This window comes from Homo sapiens, chromosome 17 (genome assembly GCF_000001405.40).
Source record: "Homo sapiens chromosome 17, GRCh38.p14 Primary Assembly".
Lineage (NCBI taxonomy): Eukaryota > Metazoa > Chordata > Mammalia > Primates > Hominidae > Homo > Homo sapiens.
Window position 1 is genome coordinate 16,645,367 of NC_000017.11, and position 20,635 is coordinate 16,666,001.

Consider the following 20,635-nt stretch of genomic DNA (forward strand, 5'->3'; position numbering starts at 1 on the left):
AGGCTATGCTTATCTAGTTGTTTGTTGTTGGTAAATTAAGTTGTTTACCAAAAGTTACAACATATATACTGGCACTATGATACTCAGAAAATATCAAGACTCTTTGTCTTGATGTGTTCCTTTTGGTCTGATTATAATAATCATGCAATAAGAGTTCTTCATCAATCTTCTATAGTTTCTTTGTTAGACGTTTGTACTAAAAAACATGTACCTGTAAAATAAAAGACATTTAGCACTGAAATTTCTTCTTTTAAAGGACTACGCTACAAAAAAAAAAAAAACAAAACACTAATTGAAAATGTCAGCCGGGCGCAGTGGCTCATGCCTGTAATCCCAGCATTTTGGGAGGCTGAGGCAGGCAGGTCACCTGAGGTCAGGAGTTCAAGACCAGTCTGACTGACATGGTAAAACCCCATCTATACTGAAAATACAAAAATTAGCCGCCCGTGGTAGTAGGTCCCTGTAATCCCGGCTACTCGGGAGGCTGAGGCAGGAGAATCGCTTGTACCCGGGAGGCAGAGGTTGCAGTGAGCCAAGATTGTGCCACTGTGCCTGGGTGACAGAGCGAGACTCCATCTCAAAAAAAAAAAAAAAAAAAAGAAAATGTCAGCAATAGTTATAAGAAAATCAAGCAAATACAAAACCAATTAAATTAAATTAATAACTTATTGATAGTTATTATCAAATCACTGGTTCTATTAAAAGTAAAATTAAACTAAGCTATGTTTAGTATGTATAATAAAAAGGATGCAGAATTTAGGGAAGAGCCAGACAGAATTAATCTTCTACCAGGGACTCCCTTTGTCAGAACAAAAATAAACCATATGAATTGTACACCATGTCAAAAAGTATGGCATTTTCTAAGGTTTATGGTTCAAAGTCTAAAACTATGAATATTTCTACTCTAAGTTTTTAAGAATCTAAGCTATCGTATGTTAAAAAGAATTTAAAAAATCATTTCAAAAATACTATGTATAAAACTGAATCTCAGAATGTATTTTCTCATAGAAGCAAAAGTAAAAACCACATTTTACAAAAAACATCTCTGGAATAAAACCAACTTTCAAAGGATAATTTTAAAAAACTTAAAAACATAATTCTTCTAAAAGCATAGTGAATACTTGCCAAAGATTTACATAAGTCATTAATGAGGGATCAGAAGCTTGACAAGACAGGTTTAAAGGAGATGCAAGAAACCGATGTACAGATAGTGGAAAAAAGAATGCTGGAATAAGACTGCAAAATTGGATACAAACCTGGTTAATGTCCTACAGGACAGTAATACCATAACTTTGGGGATTATCTTTTATCCTAGCAAAAATAATTGCAATGTTTCAATCTTCTACAAGTTAATATCTAACTTTTAGGATCTAAATATTAATTAATAGTAAATGGTAAGTCAAACAACATAACCCTCCCCTGCTATGTCAGATAACCCTTAGACAGGCTTGTTAAGACAATGGTCTAATATGACTCTGAAATGGCCTACATTTATCTTTTATTTATTTCTAAGTTTTGGATAATTTTTCTTATCACAACAAATTTCTGATTTTTATTTTTTCTGGAAAAATGAAGTGGATTCACTACTCACATATAAGAAATCCTGAAGAAATAAAATATCTAAACCAATTTAAACTCATCTTAACACTATTTCCACAATGTTGATGTACTCTTGGTATTTTTTAATGGCACAGTATTGGGTCTTACAATGCAGCACAAGCTTCAGACTACGTAATGATAGGATATTTTACCATTAGTAATCACGATGTGACTATCTGGCTAGATTACGGCTGCCACCTCTGAGAGAAATGAAATCTGTTAAATTGATGCCACCAGCCCTGGGGCTACCACACCAATCAAATAATCATTGTGAACTTGCAATTAACTGGGAACATTGAGAATCAGAGGCAGTAAAATAGGCATTTTCTCTGTATTCATTATATGTACAACAGTAGGTATTACCTTTACCAATTGTGTTTCTTCTGCCTGAAGGTGAAGATCTTCATCTGGCTGGGTAACTTCAGGGCTCTGATGGGATACAGGATAAGATCATTCAGTGATAGGCTGCCTATGACTTACAGCAGAGCCTCAACAAGCACCACCAATCCACTGTGGATGCAGTGTATACAGGATGACCTCACCTACTGTTTTACTTAGGGCTGAAATCAAAGTCCCATTGTAACATGCAATCATAATCTTTCACTTTGTTTGGGACAATGACAAACACACGTAAGATTGAAAAAGATATAACTGCTTTTAAAAAAGAACCTATCAAAACAAAAATAAACTTATAATAAAGTGCCTTCAGACACTACATAATTCTACTTTTTCATATTGGGATGAAATCTATTTCTCAGAAAGTATCTATCTTGCTCAAGAATAACACTCAAAACCTACTAACACTATCTGTTTTCTACAATTGAAAAATCATTACAGTGTTTGGTGGGGGGATGTGGCTCAACAGTCACTCAGGAAATATTTCAGCAACCTCTCATAACATTGTTTTCTTCCAAAACTTAGAAACTGTATCTCCATGAGGGCCTTATTTATTTATTTATTTTTATTTTTATTTTTTATTTTTTTTGAGACAGAGTCTTACTCTGTCGCTGCCCAGGCTGGAGTGCAGTGGGGCGATCTTGGCTCACTGCAACCTCTGCCTCCCAGGTTCAAGTGATTCTCCTGTCTCAGCCTCCTGAGTAGCTGGGACTATAGGCACACACCACCATGTCCGGCTAATTTTTTGTACTCTTTTTTTTTTGTGGAGACAGAGTTTCACCATGTTGCCCAGGCTGGTCTTGAACTCCTGGGCTCAGATAATCTGCCCACCTCAGCCTCCCAAAGTGCTAGGATTGCAGGCATGAGCCACTGCGCCCAGCCCATGAGGGCCTGATTTTATGAATGCAATGAAATTTTACTTTACCTTCTAGTTGTAGTTATCCATTTCAGATGCTGTGCCATTTAAAAAAATTATGGATAATAAAACTACATAAAGATCACTATGAAAAAATGTTATGCTAACTCTCCCTCAACAACATCTTGTCTAAAAATGCACAAATATTCAGATTCCAGAAAATTAATGATGATGTGAATCTTCTATCTCTGATAGAGACGGGTTGATCCCGTGATACACGATTAGACAAATATGGTTATACCTGGTGATCAAGGGCAACATTTTGGTTTTATTTATCTTTTCAAGGGTATTTTAAAGGACTATTTACATGTTACATATTCTGGCTACAAAGAATAAAAGACCACAATCACGGGTTATTACAGATCATTACTATAACAAATTATATTTGTTGGTATTCTCTTTCTTCTGAATCTATTTTAAAGTCACTGCTAAAACACAGCTTTTATCACATTAATAATAATCCCAAGGACACTCAAACACACACACACACACATTTAAATGTCTTCAGGGAAACATTAAAAGATTCATCTTAAATATCTAACTTCCAGCCCTATCTGTCACAACTTTCCAACTTGAATCACAAGCTCACCCACTGTTCTCTGCCTCTGAAGCCTTGCCCTTAAACCCGTTTCTCACCTGAACTATCTTCATAAATACTTTATGACAATTAAAATCTCACTTGTAATTCAGTACCAGCTTAAATCTAACTATCCTTATGAACTTTCTATGACCAGTTTAGCCCACACTATCATCCCATTTCTTTCTTTACATAGCACTCATCTTTATCATACCGATAAGCAACTACTGTTCACCCAAATAATGTAATTATTACTTTTGTACATTTTACCTCAATGAAACTGTAAATTCCCTAGAGCCAAGCACTGTCTTAAACATATTCTCTCAATGTAATCTATTAAATCTAATCACTTCTTAATGAGTAGAAAAGAGATCACTGAGAGTGGCACAAGGGGAATGGTTCCTGTGAATCAGGGCTGGGGTATGTGTTTGTGTACATATATTTTCCCCATAATTTCCTATATAAAATTTTCCAATTGAAAAATATTCCATTTTGCTGTCCCACAAATAACTAAAATTTCCTGGGAACAATACAAATTTAATATCAAAATTAAAGATGCCTGTCATAACTAACGACAGCTCAGATATTTTTTGAAAGATCATGTGTCCTGATATTTGGTTAAGTAAGTATAGTGAATCGTCCCATAGTTTACTACCCTTACTGTGAACCCAATTTTCATGGGTCTATTTAGTTGAGTTCCCAGAAGGGGTGTCGGGGGAAGTAGAGAAGTCGCAAGCCTTCAGGCAAAGTAAACATGCTCTCAAACCAAGATAGTAGGTCAAAAACAGGGAATCCCAACTTACCAGGCGTCCAACTGAGAAAAACACAGCAGCCATAATCTCTCCCTCTGGTTTCCCCTCTCTGGAAAGAGTGGAGTCTTGCAAAGACATACCTAAGGAAGAGAAATAAGCCATGGAAACCAATCCTGCCTGGGGAATTTCAGACTCACCAAGTTGGAATCCTGACATACAAGTGAGCATGACCTCCCTAAGGAAGCACAAGAGTAACCCTTAAGATCAGTGAGGGACAAAGACCCTTGCTCCGGCAGAGCTCAAGATTTTAGCACTGTTAACTATAGTCACAACTAACAGGCTAGCCATTGTACAAGGAGGTTTTAAAATACTTTCTCATTTTATTTTCACATCAACCTAGTAGGAATAATATTCCCATTCCATAGATGAGGAAACTGAACCTAAAAAAATTAAAGTACCCAAGGCCATGCAGATACATGACCCCAAATCAATCTAATTCCAAAGCCCATACCTTTTCCACTGAATCAACATGCTGTGTGAAGTACGAAAAAAAATACTTCAGTCTTTCTTTGCCACAATCACTTACTCATCTAACAATTAAATATTCTAAGAATCTCCTTTTCTTGCCTTTCCCACGAAGAGTCTATTTCCTAACATTTTCAGAGATCTGTTTCATGTAAAGAGAACACTACGACTTCAAAATTTAAATGATATTGGAAATCTTGATTTACCCCTCCGAATCTGATATTCAAATAGATCTTTATCCTTTCTATATCAGGCAAACTTAAACAAAAAGGAAGCAGGTATAATAATAATAATAATAATAATAATAGAAGAGACATGAAATTCAGTGCACAAAGCATTAAGCTATAGTCTTTTTATATTGAAAAAAAAGTATATACCTAATAAAAGTTTTATCCTATGGAGCAACAGGGTGGCAGAGATCTTTTCCAGGGATGCTTGGGCCCTGCTTTTCTACCTTTGGCTAATGATATGTATGGCCTTGCTGAGGCTGAGTTTGGTTCAAGAACCAGGAGTGCCTGATGTAGGATATCAAACAGTACAGATTGTCAATATAAATTCTTCTAGGATGGTAATACTAGCCTCATGAATCTTTATTCATGAGGGCAGTGACATAATAAGTATTAAGTTTTTGTACAAAAAGTGTTATAAGCAATTATATGGTCCTGCAAGTAGGGCCTTTGTTATGCTTAAACATGTGGAATCTGCTCCTTCCCTGAATGTGCACCTTGCTTCTCATAACGTTCAGTAGCTTTGCTCAATAAACATAGCAGAACTTAATCTAACCTTACAGTGTCTAACAATCAGAAGCTCATCTGAAAAGATACTTGAAGTACTTAACCATTATTCTCTGAAAAACAAGAATATATAAAGCAAGGTTATCAAGAATGCAAAGAATATTAGAGATATAAAAATTAACTAGATATGGGTATACTGAAACATATACTGTCAGATTAATGTATTAACTCAAGGAGGAGACCAGGGTTAGTTAAATCAAGAAAATATGTAAATATCTTGGCTGGGCATGGTGGCTCATACCTGTAATCCCAGCACTTTGGGAGGCCGAGGCGGGCAGAGCACCTGAGGTCAGGAGTTTGAGACCAGCCTGGCTGACACGGTGAAACCCTGACTCTACTAAAAAATACAAAATGATCAGCCAGGTGTGGTGGTGCACGCCTGTAGTCCCAGCTACTCGGGAGGCTGAGGCACTAGAATTGCTTGAACTTGGGAGGTGGAGGTTGCAGTGAGCAGAGATTGTGTCACTGCACTCCTGCCTGGGCGACACAGCGAGACTCCATCTCAAAAAAAAAAAAAAAAAGTGAGTATCTTAAAAATGTAGAGTGACCTGTTTCATGACACTGGGGCTTTCCTAGGCACAATGAAAAGGTTTTGGTGGAAGAGAAACAATGAGAAGTTGAGGGAGGAAAGCGGTACAGTGTGGAGATAAAAGAGGTAAAGAAAGAATAGTCTGAGGGGATTCCTGTATTGAAGCCTCAAGGTAACCAGTAAGTGGTTTTGCCTTATGCCAGTGTTTCTCTAGATTTTTCTGTCATAGAGCCTTTTGCAAATCTAATGAAAATTATGACTCCTCTCCTGTTTTCTAATGAAAACGCCACATGTATAACTAGAGGGGTCTCAAATCTGAGAATGCAAAAAACTCACTGGATATGCTTATTAAAAAGGAAATTATTTGGCCCCATCCAAGATCAAAATCAGGATCTCTAGATGTGAGGCACAGAAATATACAGCTTGAACAAGTACACCTTAAGAAATATTTAGTTTAATATAATGTTAACATGTTAATTATATAATGTTAAATTATATAATGTTTTAGTTTTAGTGTAATATTTTAAGAAATATTGCCTGTTACACAATAGGGATTCTGAAGGGTGAAGGAGTGGGAGGGGGGTGGAGAATAAGGAATTACTTAATGGGTATAATGTACGTTATTCTAGGGACAGATACCCTGAAAGCCCTGATCTCACCACTACACAATCTATGCATACCAGTAAATCTTAATTTTTGGGGGGGTACGGACCCATCTGAGAATCTGACCTTGTCCACAAAATAATGCACATGCATATATGATGTTGCATATTACTTCAGAGAGCTTGAAAACTGACTCTCCCTCCCAAGCCCATACACTGACCCCCAAGTTTTACAAGGTTGCAAAGAAAAAAAATGAGCCAAGAATATTGCCCCATCCCGCAACCCCCGAACACTAAAGCAGACCTACAAAGAGCAACATAAGGCATTTTCAATTCCGAAGGTCTAGAGTAATGGTTTTCTGCATCTTTAACATTTATCAAGAGTGAGCTGAGTCATCATTTTTAAAATATTTGTAAATATTAATAAACTCTTTGGCAATACTTTATGTAGATTATGTAGATTATGCTCGTAACATATGTTTAACAACCAAACTACAATAAATCCCTTGTTTTATTTTATAATTAGAATAAACAATATTTAACATTTAATATATTCAGCTTGATCTCAATTGTGCAAATGTAATGCATAGAAAAAAAGACTGAGTAACCCAAAACTCTACTGAGACCTCTGAGACCTGGGGCTGTGATGTTTACCCTTCTTTCTGCTTTTCTGTACTCTCCAAGCAGACAAGAAGAAGTATCTACCTATACATAGGAGTGTGGAATAGGAATAAAATCCCAGAGTGGCTGGCCACATCCCCAGGTTCTAACCCTGCTTTGGCTACCGTAAAACTGTGACCACAGGCAAGTCACTTGAGCACAACGAATCAGCTATTAGTACATGACAGTAGCCACCTTATATGTTTCTACTGTCCCCTTTGTCATTATGCAGAAGATATCTAGGCCACTATTCCCCAGTTATAATTTCCCTATTTACAAGCTCTGTCTTTCCAACTATTGCAAACGTATCCAGAGACTTAAGGAGAAACTTTACTTGTTTTGCTTCCTTGGCCAGTGCAGTTATTTAGAAATAATGAAGGGTCCATGTTTTTGCTGAGAATCTCAGCGCCATGTACCAGTCCAGCATTTCCCAACCAATGCAATAATACCATTGTCATGTCAGGGAGTGACAAGTGATTAAAAGGTGATTACAGTATTTGAAATGTGACATTTCAGGAAAAGCTGCCTCGGTTACTGAGTAGCGCAGGTCCCCCGATGTGGAACCTAGTTCCATCCCTGCCAGTTCAGAAGCCAGAGCGGATATGCTCCTGCCAACCTCGCCTTCTTTCCCTAACTGCTCTCCTCTACCCACTTCGGGTATGCCCTCCTCAGGGCCTGCAAGGCGCGGGGCTGGGAAGACCGGGAAAGTCGGGTCAGGGGCCCGCCCGCCCTACTCGACTCCCTGCGCCCTGCGCCCGGCTCTTTTTAACCCCAGCGCCGCCAGGCCCGCAGGGAGGGGGTTCCCGGGTTTGGACCCGGACTAGGAGGCCGCATAGGGCACGCGGCCCTACCTGTGAGGGAGGCCAGCTGGAGACTGAACCCACACTCGGGAAGGAGGCCCAGCCCCAATCGCCTCTCAGGAGTGGGCGGGTCCGCTCAGGGACAGGGGCTCTAGAGGGAACGGCCACGCCCCGGACGCCGCCGGGAGCCAAGCGCCAAGGGAGGGGCGGCGGGCAACCGAGGCCAGGCGCCCGGGACAACGAGTACCTGGCGGCCGAACTGAGGACAACTGAGGGAACTCGCAGAGCAGGGCGGGAACGCTTCCAGCAATGGCGGCGGCTCGGCGGTGCCGGCCTCCAGGCAGGGCATTGCGCCTGCGCAGCCGGAGCGTCGGAACTACAGTGCCCAGAATCCTCAGCGCCTGAGCCCCCCGCCCCTTTTGTCTGCGTTAGTGAAGGAATTGGCTCTTCGAGGGTGAGAAAAAATTCCAATTGGATACACTTCTGTTGAGAAGCCTTGACTATGTGTCAAAAGCAATAGCACTAGAGATACAAATAATGACACAACCCTTGTCTTGGAACATTTAGGTGCGACTAAAGAAAGCCGTCGAGAGAACAGATAGATGTGATCCAGACAAATATGTGAACAAGTGCTTGGAAACACATATTTCTGAACAATTCCCTTTATGACAATTCCCTCAGAGTTGGAAGAGACAACAATTGATGACTATAATGCCAATTAAGTAGAATGGATATGAATGTCTGAAAATAAGCTGGAAATTTTAAGGCCAAAATTCTTCGAAATACAAAGAAAAAACCTTTCTGAAGACAAATAGCTGTAGAAGTTCTCCTCAATGCATACAAATGATAATTCTTAAAACACAATGACTGAAAGTATTTATTTGCAACAAATTTATTTGACCACTTATTCAAGGGCTGCTCGTCCAAGAGCTATATTAAGGTCTATTTACTTTATCCCTACCAAAGGCGGTATTTTTTGAGGATAGAAACTACATCTCATGGAGTTTATCACTCAGAGTGCCTACTTAGGAGACTGCTTGCATACTGAATGAAACGAAGGAAGAATGAATGAATAATTTGGGACCCCACCTCCCAACACACTTCCACATATCGAAATGCACACGGAATGAGGTACATCTTCTAAGGAGAGTGGCATTGAAGAGTAATCAAAACAACAGGATATTCACAGGAGGACTGGAATAAAACGAAATTTCCAGTGAAAAAGATTACTCAAAATATTTATTCAATACACTCTGAAATTAGAAACTAAGCAAATGTCTTTTGGAGATCCCAGTTCCCTCACATTCCCCACAGATGAAGATGAGCCAAACAGAAGTCCAAAACTTAAACATTACAAAACAAATAATAAAATAAGACACTGTGACTGAAAATCAGCACAAACAATAAACGGCAGAAATATATCCCCCAAAACTTCAGAGGCAGAGCTCATTTGATTAAAAATTTAAAATTATTACATTTAAAATGTTTAAGGACATGATAGATGGAATTAAAAACATTATCAACAAACAACAGAATGTAAAATAAGCCACCAGGAAAGTTTAGAGAAACATACACATTTCGTTAAACTATTAAAAAAAAATGTTTAACACAATATTTAGGGTAGATTATTACTTCTACAGGGATAAAGTCCAGGAAAGACAGACACACAGGTGACTTCAAAGGTATTGGTAGTGTTTTATTTCTTAATTTTGGTAGGAGTACACTGTTCAATTTGTAGTGATATTTGTTATAGGCAATTTTGTGTGCATTTTATATTTAGTAATTTTTAAACTCTTAAAGAACTCTTCTGTGAAGGAAGAAACTAATGCTTTTTGGCTTCAAATAATAAACCAATGGTTAAAAGTTACTTGAAGATAGATTTTGATTCAGATTGTATAACTTTATGCTAACAACGAACAGCTTTAGAAAATAGAGTAGGCTACCTTGTGCAATAATGAATTTGAATTCTTTGGAGAAGTTCAGGCAGAGATTAGATGAATCCTTGCTTAGAATTTTTAAATGTCCTCTTGGGAATTTGATTGCATGACCTGCAAGCTCTCTTCCACATAAGCATTTTGTGTTTACATGAATATTCCTTTCATTACATTTATTTTTCCTCCCATTGGGCCAGGTAATGAATAGATTTGTATCATCATAATGTGTTATGGAATACTTAGGAATCAGTGACATTAAGGGATGACTTCGTCTGGGAAGAGTGGAACTTAATGGATTCCTCAAAAGGACTCTGCACAAGGGTGTGATATTGGGAAACTACAGGAACCTGGTCTCTCTGGGTAAGAAGAGTTTTGTTGTGACTCGCTATTTTTCTGTTGGACCAAATGGACCTTAGGATTCAGGGATTTATGATATCTTATGAACCCTTATGGAGTAGTTCTATCTCCATTTCCAAGTAAAAACTCTACTCTTTGTAAAGGGAAAAATTTATATTTTCATCAGCATATCTTGAAAACTCTACCTGAGGACAATCCCCCAGACCTAGGACTGTCTCTTTTAAAGTCTCTTTTCAGGTACTTCAATTCTGCCTTTTTAAAAAAATTAGAAAAATATATATTTTTGGCTAACTTATATTGGTTCTGTGATGCAGCATATTTTACCATTCTTGGGAGCACATATTTGACCCCTCCCAACTACCTTTGTAATCATATGGAACTCCCTATATTGATCATGCCTTCCAAAAGATTATGTCCACATAGAACTCCGGAATGGCTTTTTGTCACCAACATAGTGAAGTTCTATTTCCCTTTTCCCGAACAGGGCTTGCAGTTCCCAAACCAGACACAATCTCCCAGTTAGAGAAAGAAAAAGGATCCTAGATGATAGTGAGACAAATTTCAGGAAACTCCATCCAAATAAGTAAATGAGAATGAGGATAAGATTCATTGTAAGTAACATCCTCAGTTGGTGTTCAAAAGTTATCTTTTGCCTGGGTACAGTGGCTCACACCTGTAATCCGAGTGCTTTGGGAGCCCAAGGTGGGAGGATTGCTAGAAACCAACAGTTTGAGACCAGCTTGAGCAATATAGTGAGACCCCATCTCTTAAAAAAAATTTAAAAATTTACCAGGCATGGTGGCATTTGCCTGTAGTCCCAGCTACTCAGAGGCTGAGGTGGGAGGATCGCTTGAACCCAGGAGTTCAAGGCTGCAGTGGGTGAGGATTGCAACACTGAATTCCAGCCTAGGTGACAGAACGAGACCCTGTCTCTCTAAAAAACAAGCAAACAAACCAACCAAAAACCACGAACAAACCAAACCCCTGCCGGGCGCGGTGGCTCACGCCTGTAATCCCAGCACTTTGGGAGGCCGAGGCAGGTGGATCACGAGGTCAGGAGATCGAGACCATCCTGGCTAACAAGGTGAAACCCCGTCTCTACTAAAAATACAAAAAAAAAAATTAGCCGGGCACGGTGGCAGGCGCCTGTAGTCCCAGCTACTCGGGAGGCTGAGGCAGGAGAATGGCGTGAACCCGGGAAGCAGAGCTTGCAGTGAGCCGAGATTGCGCCACTGCAGTCCGCAGTCCGGCCTGGGCGACAGAGCGAGACTCCGTCTCAAAAAAAAAAAAAAAAAAAAAAAAAACCAAACCCCTTTTAGCAAAATACCTGCATGAGGTAATAAAACTTATGTATCAAATGCCTACAACAAACATATGTCATGATGAAATGTTAAATGTTAAATGCTTCCCATAGAATTAGGTTCAAGATGAGTTTCCATCCACCATCACATTTCATTTTCACATTGCAGAATGTAAAGGGGCCTGCCCAAGATCATAACATTGCTCACTGGGTAAGTCAAGAGAACCCAGTACAGCACTTTAGATCCTTCATTTTAGTTTTGTTCTAAAACTGCTCCTGTTACCCTTTGGACATGAGTCTTTTATGTATTATCATTTGAATTCATGTATATTAGTTCATTTTCGCACTGCTCTAAAGAATGCCTGAGACTGGGTGATTTATAAACAAAAGAGGTTTAATTGGCTCACAGTTTTGCATGGCTGGGAAGGCCTCAGGAAACTTACAATCATGATGGAAGGCAAAGAGGAAGCAGGTAATTTATTCACAAGGCAGCGGGAGAGAGGGGAGAGCAGGGGAAACTGCCACTTATAAAATCATCAGACCTCATGAAAACTCACTGTCATGAGAACAGCATGGGGCAAACCACCCTCATGATCCAATCACCTCCCACCAGGTCCCTCCCTCGACACATGGGGATTAAAATTCAAGATGAGATTTGGGTGGGGACACAGAGCCAAACCATATCATTCTGCTGCTGGGCCCTCCTAAATCTCAAGCCCTTTTCACATTTCAAAACCAATTATGCCTTCCCAATAGTCCCCCAAAGTCTTAACTCATTCCAGCATTAACCCAAAATCCAAGTTCAAAGTCTTATTTGAGACAAGGCAAGTCCCTTCCATCTATGAGCCTGTAAAATCAAAAGCAAGTTAGTGACTTCCAAGATACAATGCGGGTACAGGCATTGGGTAAATGTTCCCATTCCAAACAGGAAAAATTGGCCAAAACAAAGGGACCAACAGGCCTCATGTAAGTCCAGAATCTGGTAGGGGAGTCATTAAATCTTAAAGCTCCAACGTGATCTTCTTTGACTCCATATCTCACATCCAGGGCATTCTGATGTGGGCTCCCAAGGCCTTGGGCAGCTCCGCCCCTGTGGCACTGCTGGGTATAGCCCCTTTGGCTGTTTTTATGGGCTGGCACTGAGTGCCTGCAGCTTTTCCAGGCACATGGTACAGCTGTTGATGGATCTACCATTTGGGAGTCTGGAGGATGGTGGCCCTCTTCTCACAGCTCCACTAGGCCATCCCCCAGCAGGGACCCTGTATGGGGGCTCCAACCCCACATTTCACTTCTGTGCTGCCCTAGCAGAGTTTCTCCGTGAGGACTCTGCCCCTGCAGCAGACTTCTGCCTGGACATCTAGGTGCTTCCATACATCCTCTGAAATCTAGGCAGAGGCTCCCAAAGCTCAGCTATTCTGTGCACCTGCAGGCCCAACACCACATGGAAGCCGCCAAGGCTTGGGGCTTGCACCCTCTGAAGCAACAGCCCAAGTTGTCCTTGGCCTCTTTAACCGCGACTGGAGCTGCAGCAGCTGGGATGCAGGGTACCATATCCCAAGGCTGCACAGAGGAGCAGCCCTGGGCCTGGCCCACAAAAACCATGTTTCCCCGCTAAGCCTCTGGGTGATGGGAGGCATTGCTGTGAAGATCTCTGACATGCCCTGGAGACATTTCCCCATTGTCTTGGCAATTAACATTTGACTCCTTGTTACTTATGCAAGTTTCTGCAGCGGCTTGAATTTCTTTCCAGAAAAGGGTTTTCCTTTTCTACCACATAGTCAGGCTGCAAATTTTCCAAACTTTCATGCTGTCACTTCTTGAACACTTTACTGCTTAGAAATTTATTCTGCCGGATACCCCAAATCATCTCTGTCAAGTTCACCCAGATCTCTAGGTCAGGAGCAAAATGCCACTAGTCTCTTTGCTAAAGCATAGCAAGAGTGATCTTTGCTCTAGTTCCCAATAAGTTCCTCATCTCCATCTGAGACCACCTAAGCCTGGACTTCACTGTCCACATCACTACCAGCATTTTGGTCAAAACCATTCAACAAATCTCTAGCAAGCTCCAGATGTTCCCACATCTTCCTGTCTTTTTCTGAGCCCTCCAAACTGTTCCAACCTCTGCCCATTACCCAGTTCCAAAGTTGCTTCCACATTATCAAGTATCTTTATAGCAGTGCCCCAAACTCTTGGTACCAATTTCCTGTATTAGTACATTTTCACACTGCTATAAAGAATGCCTGAGACTGAGTAATTTATGAACAAAAGAGGCTTAATCAACTTACAATGCTGCATGGCTGGGGAGGCCTCAGGAAACTTACAATCATGGTGGAAGGCAAACGGGAAGCAGCAACTTCTTCATAAGGCATGAGGAGAGGGGAGAGCAGGGGAAACTGCCACTTATAAAAACAACAGATATTGTGAGAACTTGCTCACTATCACAAGAACAGCATAGGCAAAACTGCCCCCATGATGCAGTCACCTCCCACCAGGTTCCTCCTTTGACACATGGGGATTACAATTTGAGATGAGATTTGGGTGGAAACACAGTCAAACCATATCATCATGGTTGCTGGTGGATTAGTTGATATTCTGAGGTAGAGATACAATAAGCTATCAGTTTGATTAGGTCTGGGTTTTGCTTTTTCTATGGTAATGTAAAAGGGCAGGAAGATTAGTATGTTACAAGTTCACTGCAATTACAAATCAGTCTCTGTACATATAAGAAAGCACAAAATCACAGACCTAGGGTCTTGACAGATATGAAAGCAAACCTATGTGATATCATGTCCACATCTTTACCTCAAACTCTCACCTAAAATTACTAGTGAGGACTTTTTTGTCCTGCTGTTAGTATTTGATAATTCTAGGTAGCATGCAATAAGATATGGAATATATGTATAACTTGATTTTATAATATTAATAACAGCCTAATTTTAAATATATATGTTGTGCCTTGTACTCTACAGAAAATGCACACTTTCCTTTTTTCTCTAAATTAGGTTTAATTTATTTCAGAAGTTTCTAGATTTTATTGTCTCTATTTAGCCAAAGCTACAAGAAAGGTCAAATTAATATCTTTAAATGCTTTCATTATCAATCAAGAAAGTGAAATGAACAAAGAATTTTACTCAAGAAACTAGTGAGAAATCAAAGAAATGTCCAAAAAGTAGAATACAAGAATTAATAAAAACAGATTAGCAGTGGAATAAATAAATGAATCCAACTGGTTCTTTGTAATGGAATGTGGAAAGACATACTCTATTCTTCTGGATAGGAAGATGAAATATCATAATCATATCAATGCAAGTTTTATGCATGCTCAAACATGTATAAACTAAGAAAAAGTCTGAAAGGACATACAGCAAAATGTTTGCAGTTTTTTTCCTTTAAGTGGTGAGATTAAAGGTAATACTTTTCTTTTTTATACTTTTCTGTATTTTCTAAATCTTCTGTAAAGAACATATAATTTTATGATCAGGAAAAAATAAGACATTTAAAAAATACCAAATTACCTCTCATTAATACGTATAATGCAAATGCCAATCAAAATACCAGAGAGACAAATGAGGGACTGGGGAAGAACTTCAAAAAGGGCCACATGGGAGATTAAACGTTATGCAAAAGAGTAATGAGGAATCTTAAAGCAAAAAAAGGGAAAGTAATCTTATTCTACAGGATATTAAAACCTAATGCAAAGCTTGGCTAGTGACTTCTAATAAAATTGCTTCCATACTTTAAATAAAATACCTGCAAATTTAGAACACAGACAAAGATAGAAACTCCTCACATGACCCACCATGAAGCCCATCAGATGGCAGAATGCAGAATCAGGTTGCAATGGACTGATCTTAAAACACATGAAGCAGTAGAAAAAAATCTTCCTGGAGCTGATGGTATAATTTGCTTCTTGAAACAATGACAGTCCATGAAATAAGGTGGGAAGATGTTTTGAACCTCTCTCAGCAGCAGATCCCTAAATCACAGACCCAGAACTTGGAGGAAACAGGAAACAGGAGGCCATCTCTGCACCTCTCCAGCACTGCTCTGGTTGGTGGGCAGAATATCATACAGTCATCACGATTCTTATATCAAAAACCAAAATTCTAGACTGATTAGATAATTATTTTTTTTTAATGAGAAAAGTTATTGTTTATTGAATCTTGGGCTAGGGAAGATATTTCCAAGCAAAAAGGGTAAAAAGAAAGAAAAAGAAATGATTAACAGATTGAAATGCAATAACAATGTAATATCAAGTGCTGGCAAGAGCTCAGGGAAGTGTGTGTTCTCATGACTGCTGGAACAAATTGGTATAATATTTCTGAAGGGCAATCTGGCTGGATATGTTAGAAGTCTTTAAAATGTTTATGCTCTGACTCAGTAATTCAATATCTAGGAATTTTTCCTAAATCAGTAATAAGAGAGAGATGAAAAAAAGTATTTACAATATTGAAAGACTGGAAAGAACATAAATGTTCAATAATACATATATGTTCAACAACAGGGGACTAGTAAATATGAATTATTTATATGATAAAATACTATCTAACCTTAAAATAATGTTTTAAATAATATTTAATGATGAGAATATGCTGAGAAAAGTTTAATCATTTTAAAAAAGTTAAATGCAAAATGAAAGTTAATAACATGTACAAGATTATTCTAAATTTTTTTGTTGTTGTTTGAGATGGAGTCTCGCTATTGTTGCCCTGGCTGGAGTGCAATGGAGTGATCTGGGCTTACTGCAACCTCCACCTCCCAGGTTCCAGCAATTCTCCTGCCTCAGCCTCCCAAGTACCTGAGATTACAGGCACCCACCACCACGCCTGGCTAATTTTTGCATTTTTAGTAGACACAGGGTTTCACTATGTTGGTCAGGCTGGTCTCGAACTCCTGACCTCAGGTGATCCAACCTCCATGGCCTCCCAAATTGCTGGGATTACAGGCGTGAGCCACTGCACCCGGTCTATTCTAAAACTTTTTAAACTTATGAGATAAACATACACACACATATATCTGGAAGAAAACTCCAAAATAGTGGCAATGTTTTGGAGGGAAAATTGGGAGTGATTTTAATTGTCTGTTACTAGCAGCTAAAAGCATGCCAATAGACCTGGCAAACTCCCACTCAATCTTCAGAATTCAGCTCAGTTGTCACTTCTTCCAGGAAGTCCTCCTGTACTACTCACTACCATATTACACTAGGTGTTCTGCTTTGCACTAGACTAGAGTCTGGGCATAACTCTATGATATTCTTTCCTTCTTTCTTTCCTTCCTTCCTTCCTTCTTTCCCTCCTTCCTTCCTTCTCTCTCTCTCTGTCTTTTCTTTTTTTTCTTTCCTTCCTTCCTTCCTTCCTTCTTTCTTTCTCTCTTTCTCTCTCTCTCTCTTTCTTGATGGAGTCTCATTGTGTCACCCAGGCTGAATTGCAGTGGCATGATCTTCTCAGCTCACTGCAACCTCTGCCTCCCAGGTTCAACCAATTCTCCTGCCTCAGCCTCCCAAGTAGCTGGGATTACAGGCCCCCGCCACCACTCCCAGATAATTTTTGTATTTTTATTAGAGATGGGGTTTTGCCATGTTGGCCAGGCTGGTCTCGAACTCCTGACCTCAGGTGATCTGCCTACCTCAGACTCCCAAAGTCCTGGGATTACAGGTGTGAGCCACTGTGCCTGGCTGATATTCTTTATCACTGCATTGTACTCTCTGCTTTGATTCTCTACATCTCAACTACACTTTGAACTGTCTACCACCAGAAATTTGGGTGTTTCCTTTTTGTATCCCAGTGCCAATCTGTCTGCAATCTAACAGGTCTTCAAGCTGGAATGCTGGCTTCATGAGTGAAATAGATGAGCAAATGCTTCTCTGTGCTCTGTGAATTTAGAGGTTAAGGGTAGAAATGTGAACAAGGATGGGCAAATACCAGTAAAAAGCTATCTCTCCTCACCTTGGCCAGCAGGCTGGAAAGATGTTTAATTTCACCAATTGCCTTTAGTAATTCTTGTCTGAACTCATTGCGAGACTGTTCCAGTAGATCCAGAATACCATGCTGCTTACTAATGCATGAGACACATGAGTTTCCTGTGGATCTGTGACAAATGACCAAAAACTTGGTGGCTTAAAACAATAGAAATTAATTTTCTCACAGTTCTAGAGGTGAGAAATCTTCAATCAAGATGTTGGCAGGGCCCTGCTTCCTACAAAGGGCCTAGGGGGATGCCATTTCTCACCGCCTCCAGCTGCTGTGGTTCCACGTGTTTCTTCTGTGGCTACATCACTCCCCTTCAGCTTCCTAGCCCCTGCAGGTCAGGAAGGCACAGGAGGAGGAGGTGGGAATGGGTGTGGAGGGCCACACACCAGGCCAGGGCAGCAGGCACTCAGAACACAGTGGCCTAGAAGCGGGGTACCAGGAAGCCACACCAGCCTTCAGGGCCCCAGGCATGCTCCCTCCTGCCAAAGGCCTTTGCACATGTTGTTCCTGCCTTCTCAAATGTTCCTCCCTATCCTCTCTGCTGCTGCATAGCAAGGTAACTTCTACTCAGTCAAAACTATCACTGTCTAGCACAACCTAAATGTCCATAAACAGAAAACATCAACAAATGACAGTGTATTCATGCAATGAAATACTATACAGCAATGAAAAAGAATGACCTATGACCACATGCAACAATATAAGAGGATCTCACAGATGTCATTGTTGAGTGAAGAAGCCAGACTCAAAAGAGCACCTTCCTCATGCATCTATAGAAGGCAAAAAGAAGCAGAATTAATCTACAGCAAAGGGCTGAGAAGAGTGGTTACTTCTGGGGGGAAGTATTGGATGGGAGGGGACAAAAGAACCCTCTAAGGGCTGGGCTTGGTCTTGTCCAGCTTGGTCTGGGGGCTGAGACTGAGTGCACCCGTGGGTAAAAGTTCATCAAGTTGAACACTTAAACTGTGTGTTCTTCCTACAATGAAAAAATAAAAACAAAACAGGCCCCTTTCTCTGAGAAGCCTTTTCCCAGACTAGAGACCTGTCCCCAGGATGAGCTGCCAGGGTTCTGTGCAACCTTCCTGCAGGCTATTGTCGCGCTGTGATGGTCTGTGTCCCCGTGAGATGGTGAGGTGGAGTCTCTAGGTTTCTCCAAGCAGAAGATTGTATCATCTGCAAACAGAGAAAATTGGACTTTTTCCTTTCCAAGTTGGATGCAGGGCTATTATTTTATTTCAGGCCATTTTCCAAGCTCATTGGTTTTTGTCAGAATTCAGTTCCTATAGTCACAGGACTGAAGATTCTGGTTTCTTTTTGCCTGTCAATGGAGAGTTGTTCTCAAATCCTAGAGGTGGCCCACCATTTTATGGCATGCAGCCTTCCCTACAGCATGGTAATTGTTTACCGTGGAAGAAAATCTTACAAGAAATCTTCATATCACCTACCATACAGTTGCCTCTAAATTTCAAATGTTCATATTCTCCCTAAAGGCAAAATACATTTACTCCCTTCCAAAGATTTCATCTCATCATCAGCTCAAATCCAAAGTATTATTATCTAAATTGTATCATCTCATCAGCTCAAAGTCCAGAATGGCCCCTAAACATCACAAACTTGAAGTTTAGAATCTTAACTTCTAAATGTTCTAAATCAGGTGCAGATGGGTACAAATCATTCAGTGCAGCTCCTGGGGGCACACTTTCAATTTGTGGACCTGTGATGCTAAAGAAACAAGTTATTTTCTCCAACAATCCTAATATACATTAGTGGACAGGCAGAGGATAACAGTTATGTGCATCTGGATAAAGATAGGTGGCAGAGGCTGGGCACGTTGGCTCATGCCTGTAATCCCAGCACTTTGGGAGGCCGAGGCAGGTGGATCACCTGAGGTCGGGAGTTTGAGACCAGCCTGACCAACATGGAGAAACCCCATCTCTACTAAAAATACAAAATTAGCTGGTCATGGTGGCGGATGCCTGTAATCTTAGCTACTTGGGAGGCTGAGGCAGAAGAATTGCTTGAACTCGGGAGGCAGAGGTTGCAGTGAGCCAAGATCGTGCCATTGCACTCCAGCCTGGGCAACAAGAGTAAAACTATGTCTCAAAAAAAAATATATATATACAATATGTTCACATACTAAAACAGCATGAAAACATAAAAATTAACAAACGAGCCATAAATAGAAAGTAATTAAAAATTAAAGAAGCTATTTCATTGAATGTTATACTGGTCAGCATTGAAGTTTGCCAAAATTTAAAGATTTCAGATTGTTGAACGTGTATGTTAATAAATTATAGATAAGAATATATGTATTTATAATATATTTTAACAGTTTCACTTCCTCAGAATAGTGTTACTACTCGAGTATCAAAGAGGCCAATTGGGTCATGAACACATGTAGAAGCATAGATGCAATGTTTATAATCTAATCTCCATGGAAAAAAAAATGCTCAAAAACCTAGAGATGTGAGTAGTACCAATGCAATTTCTACAATTTGTCAAGATTGTTTAAAATGAGAATTTCTATTTCCCTGGTTGGCTGTTACTTTTCTGGAAGCCTGAGGAGAGGAGAAGCTGTCAGTGGAGGTCCCTGAAGTTACCCAGGCCCAGGAGAGACACAGCATCAGCTGACAACTGCAGTAAATGCCACTGAAGACCCTCACTGGGAAGAGGCTGCAGAACCGTGTCTGCCATGCTCGTGTTTTAAATGCTGGCCAAGCTGAATCAAAACTCCTTTTCCTTTTTCAAATTTCCTTTTTTAAATAGAAGAAGTTTCAGGTACTCAAAAAATGTCACACAAGACTTATTGTGTTTGCCCTGTATCATTTCTTTCTTAAACAATTTAAGCAGGAGTTATTTCACATACTGTATTTGGCAATCAGCTTTTGTTATTTCAAACCAATGAAGACAATAAATTTGCTTTCT

At 40.0% G+C, this 20,635-nt stretch overlaps 1 protein-coding gene and 1 long non-coding RNA gene across 7 annotated transcripts in view, besides 2 other annotated features; one reads left to right on the forward strand and one right to left on the reverse strand.

Annotated features, from left to right (window-relative positions):
• The window catches only part of ZNF624 (zinc finger protein 624), a 39,604-nt gene extending 31,120 nt beyond the window's left edge, over positions 1-8,484 (reverse strand). For 2 of the 5 annotated variants that reach the window (XM_047436461.1, NM_020787.4), the window contains exons 1-3: positions 8,398-8,484; positions 4,292-4,380; positions 1,963-2,028 (exon numbers count right to left, since the gene is read on the reverse strand). In XM_047436461.1, the coding sequence (XP_047292417.1) occupies positions 1,963-2,028; positions 4,292-4,378 (153 nt within the window). In that variant the 5' untranslated portion in view covers positions 4,379-4,380; positions 8,398-8,484. Of the gene's footprint in view, positions 1-1,962; positions 2,029-4,291; positions 4,381-8,201 lie in introns of all 5 variants that reach the window. The other 3 variants (XM_011523970.3, XM_047436460.1, XM_006721562.5) reach the window with 3 other exon arrangements.
• Positions 7,728-8,238: an enhancer, noted in NCBI's record as "H3K27ac hESC enhancer chr17:16556408-16556918 (GRCh37/hg19 assembly coordinates)". NCBI's record gives its function as "activates a minimal SCP1, AML or CMV promoter by ChIP-STARR-seq in primed H9 embryonic stem cells {active_cell/tissue: H9 hESC(primed)}" and the evidence as "EXISTENCE:reporter gene assay evidence [ECO:0000049][PMID:30033119]".
• Positions 8,194-8,393: a silencer, noted in NCBI's record as "silent region_8228". NCBI's record gives its function as "represses an Ori minimal core promoter by ATAC-STARR-seq in GM12878 lymphoblastoid cells {active_cell/tissue: GM12878}" and the evidence as "EXISTENCE:reporter gene assay evidence [ECO:0000049][PMID:35858748]".
• LOC124903934 (uncharacterized) lies at positions 8,526-20,356 on the forward strand. Of its 2 annotated transcripts, XR_007065639.1 has the most exons (4): positions 8,526-8,604; positions 8,718-9,832; positions 10,282-11,052; positions 20,268-20,356. It is a non-coding gene; the product is annotated as an uncharacterized LOC124903934 (long non-coding RNA). The 2 variants fall into 2 exon arrangements; XR_007065638.1 differs by having other exon boundaries at positions 8,579-9,281.
• Positions 20,357-20,635: the final 279 nt, after the last annotated feature.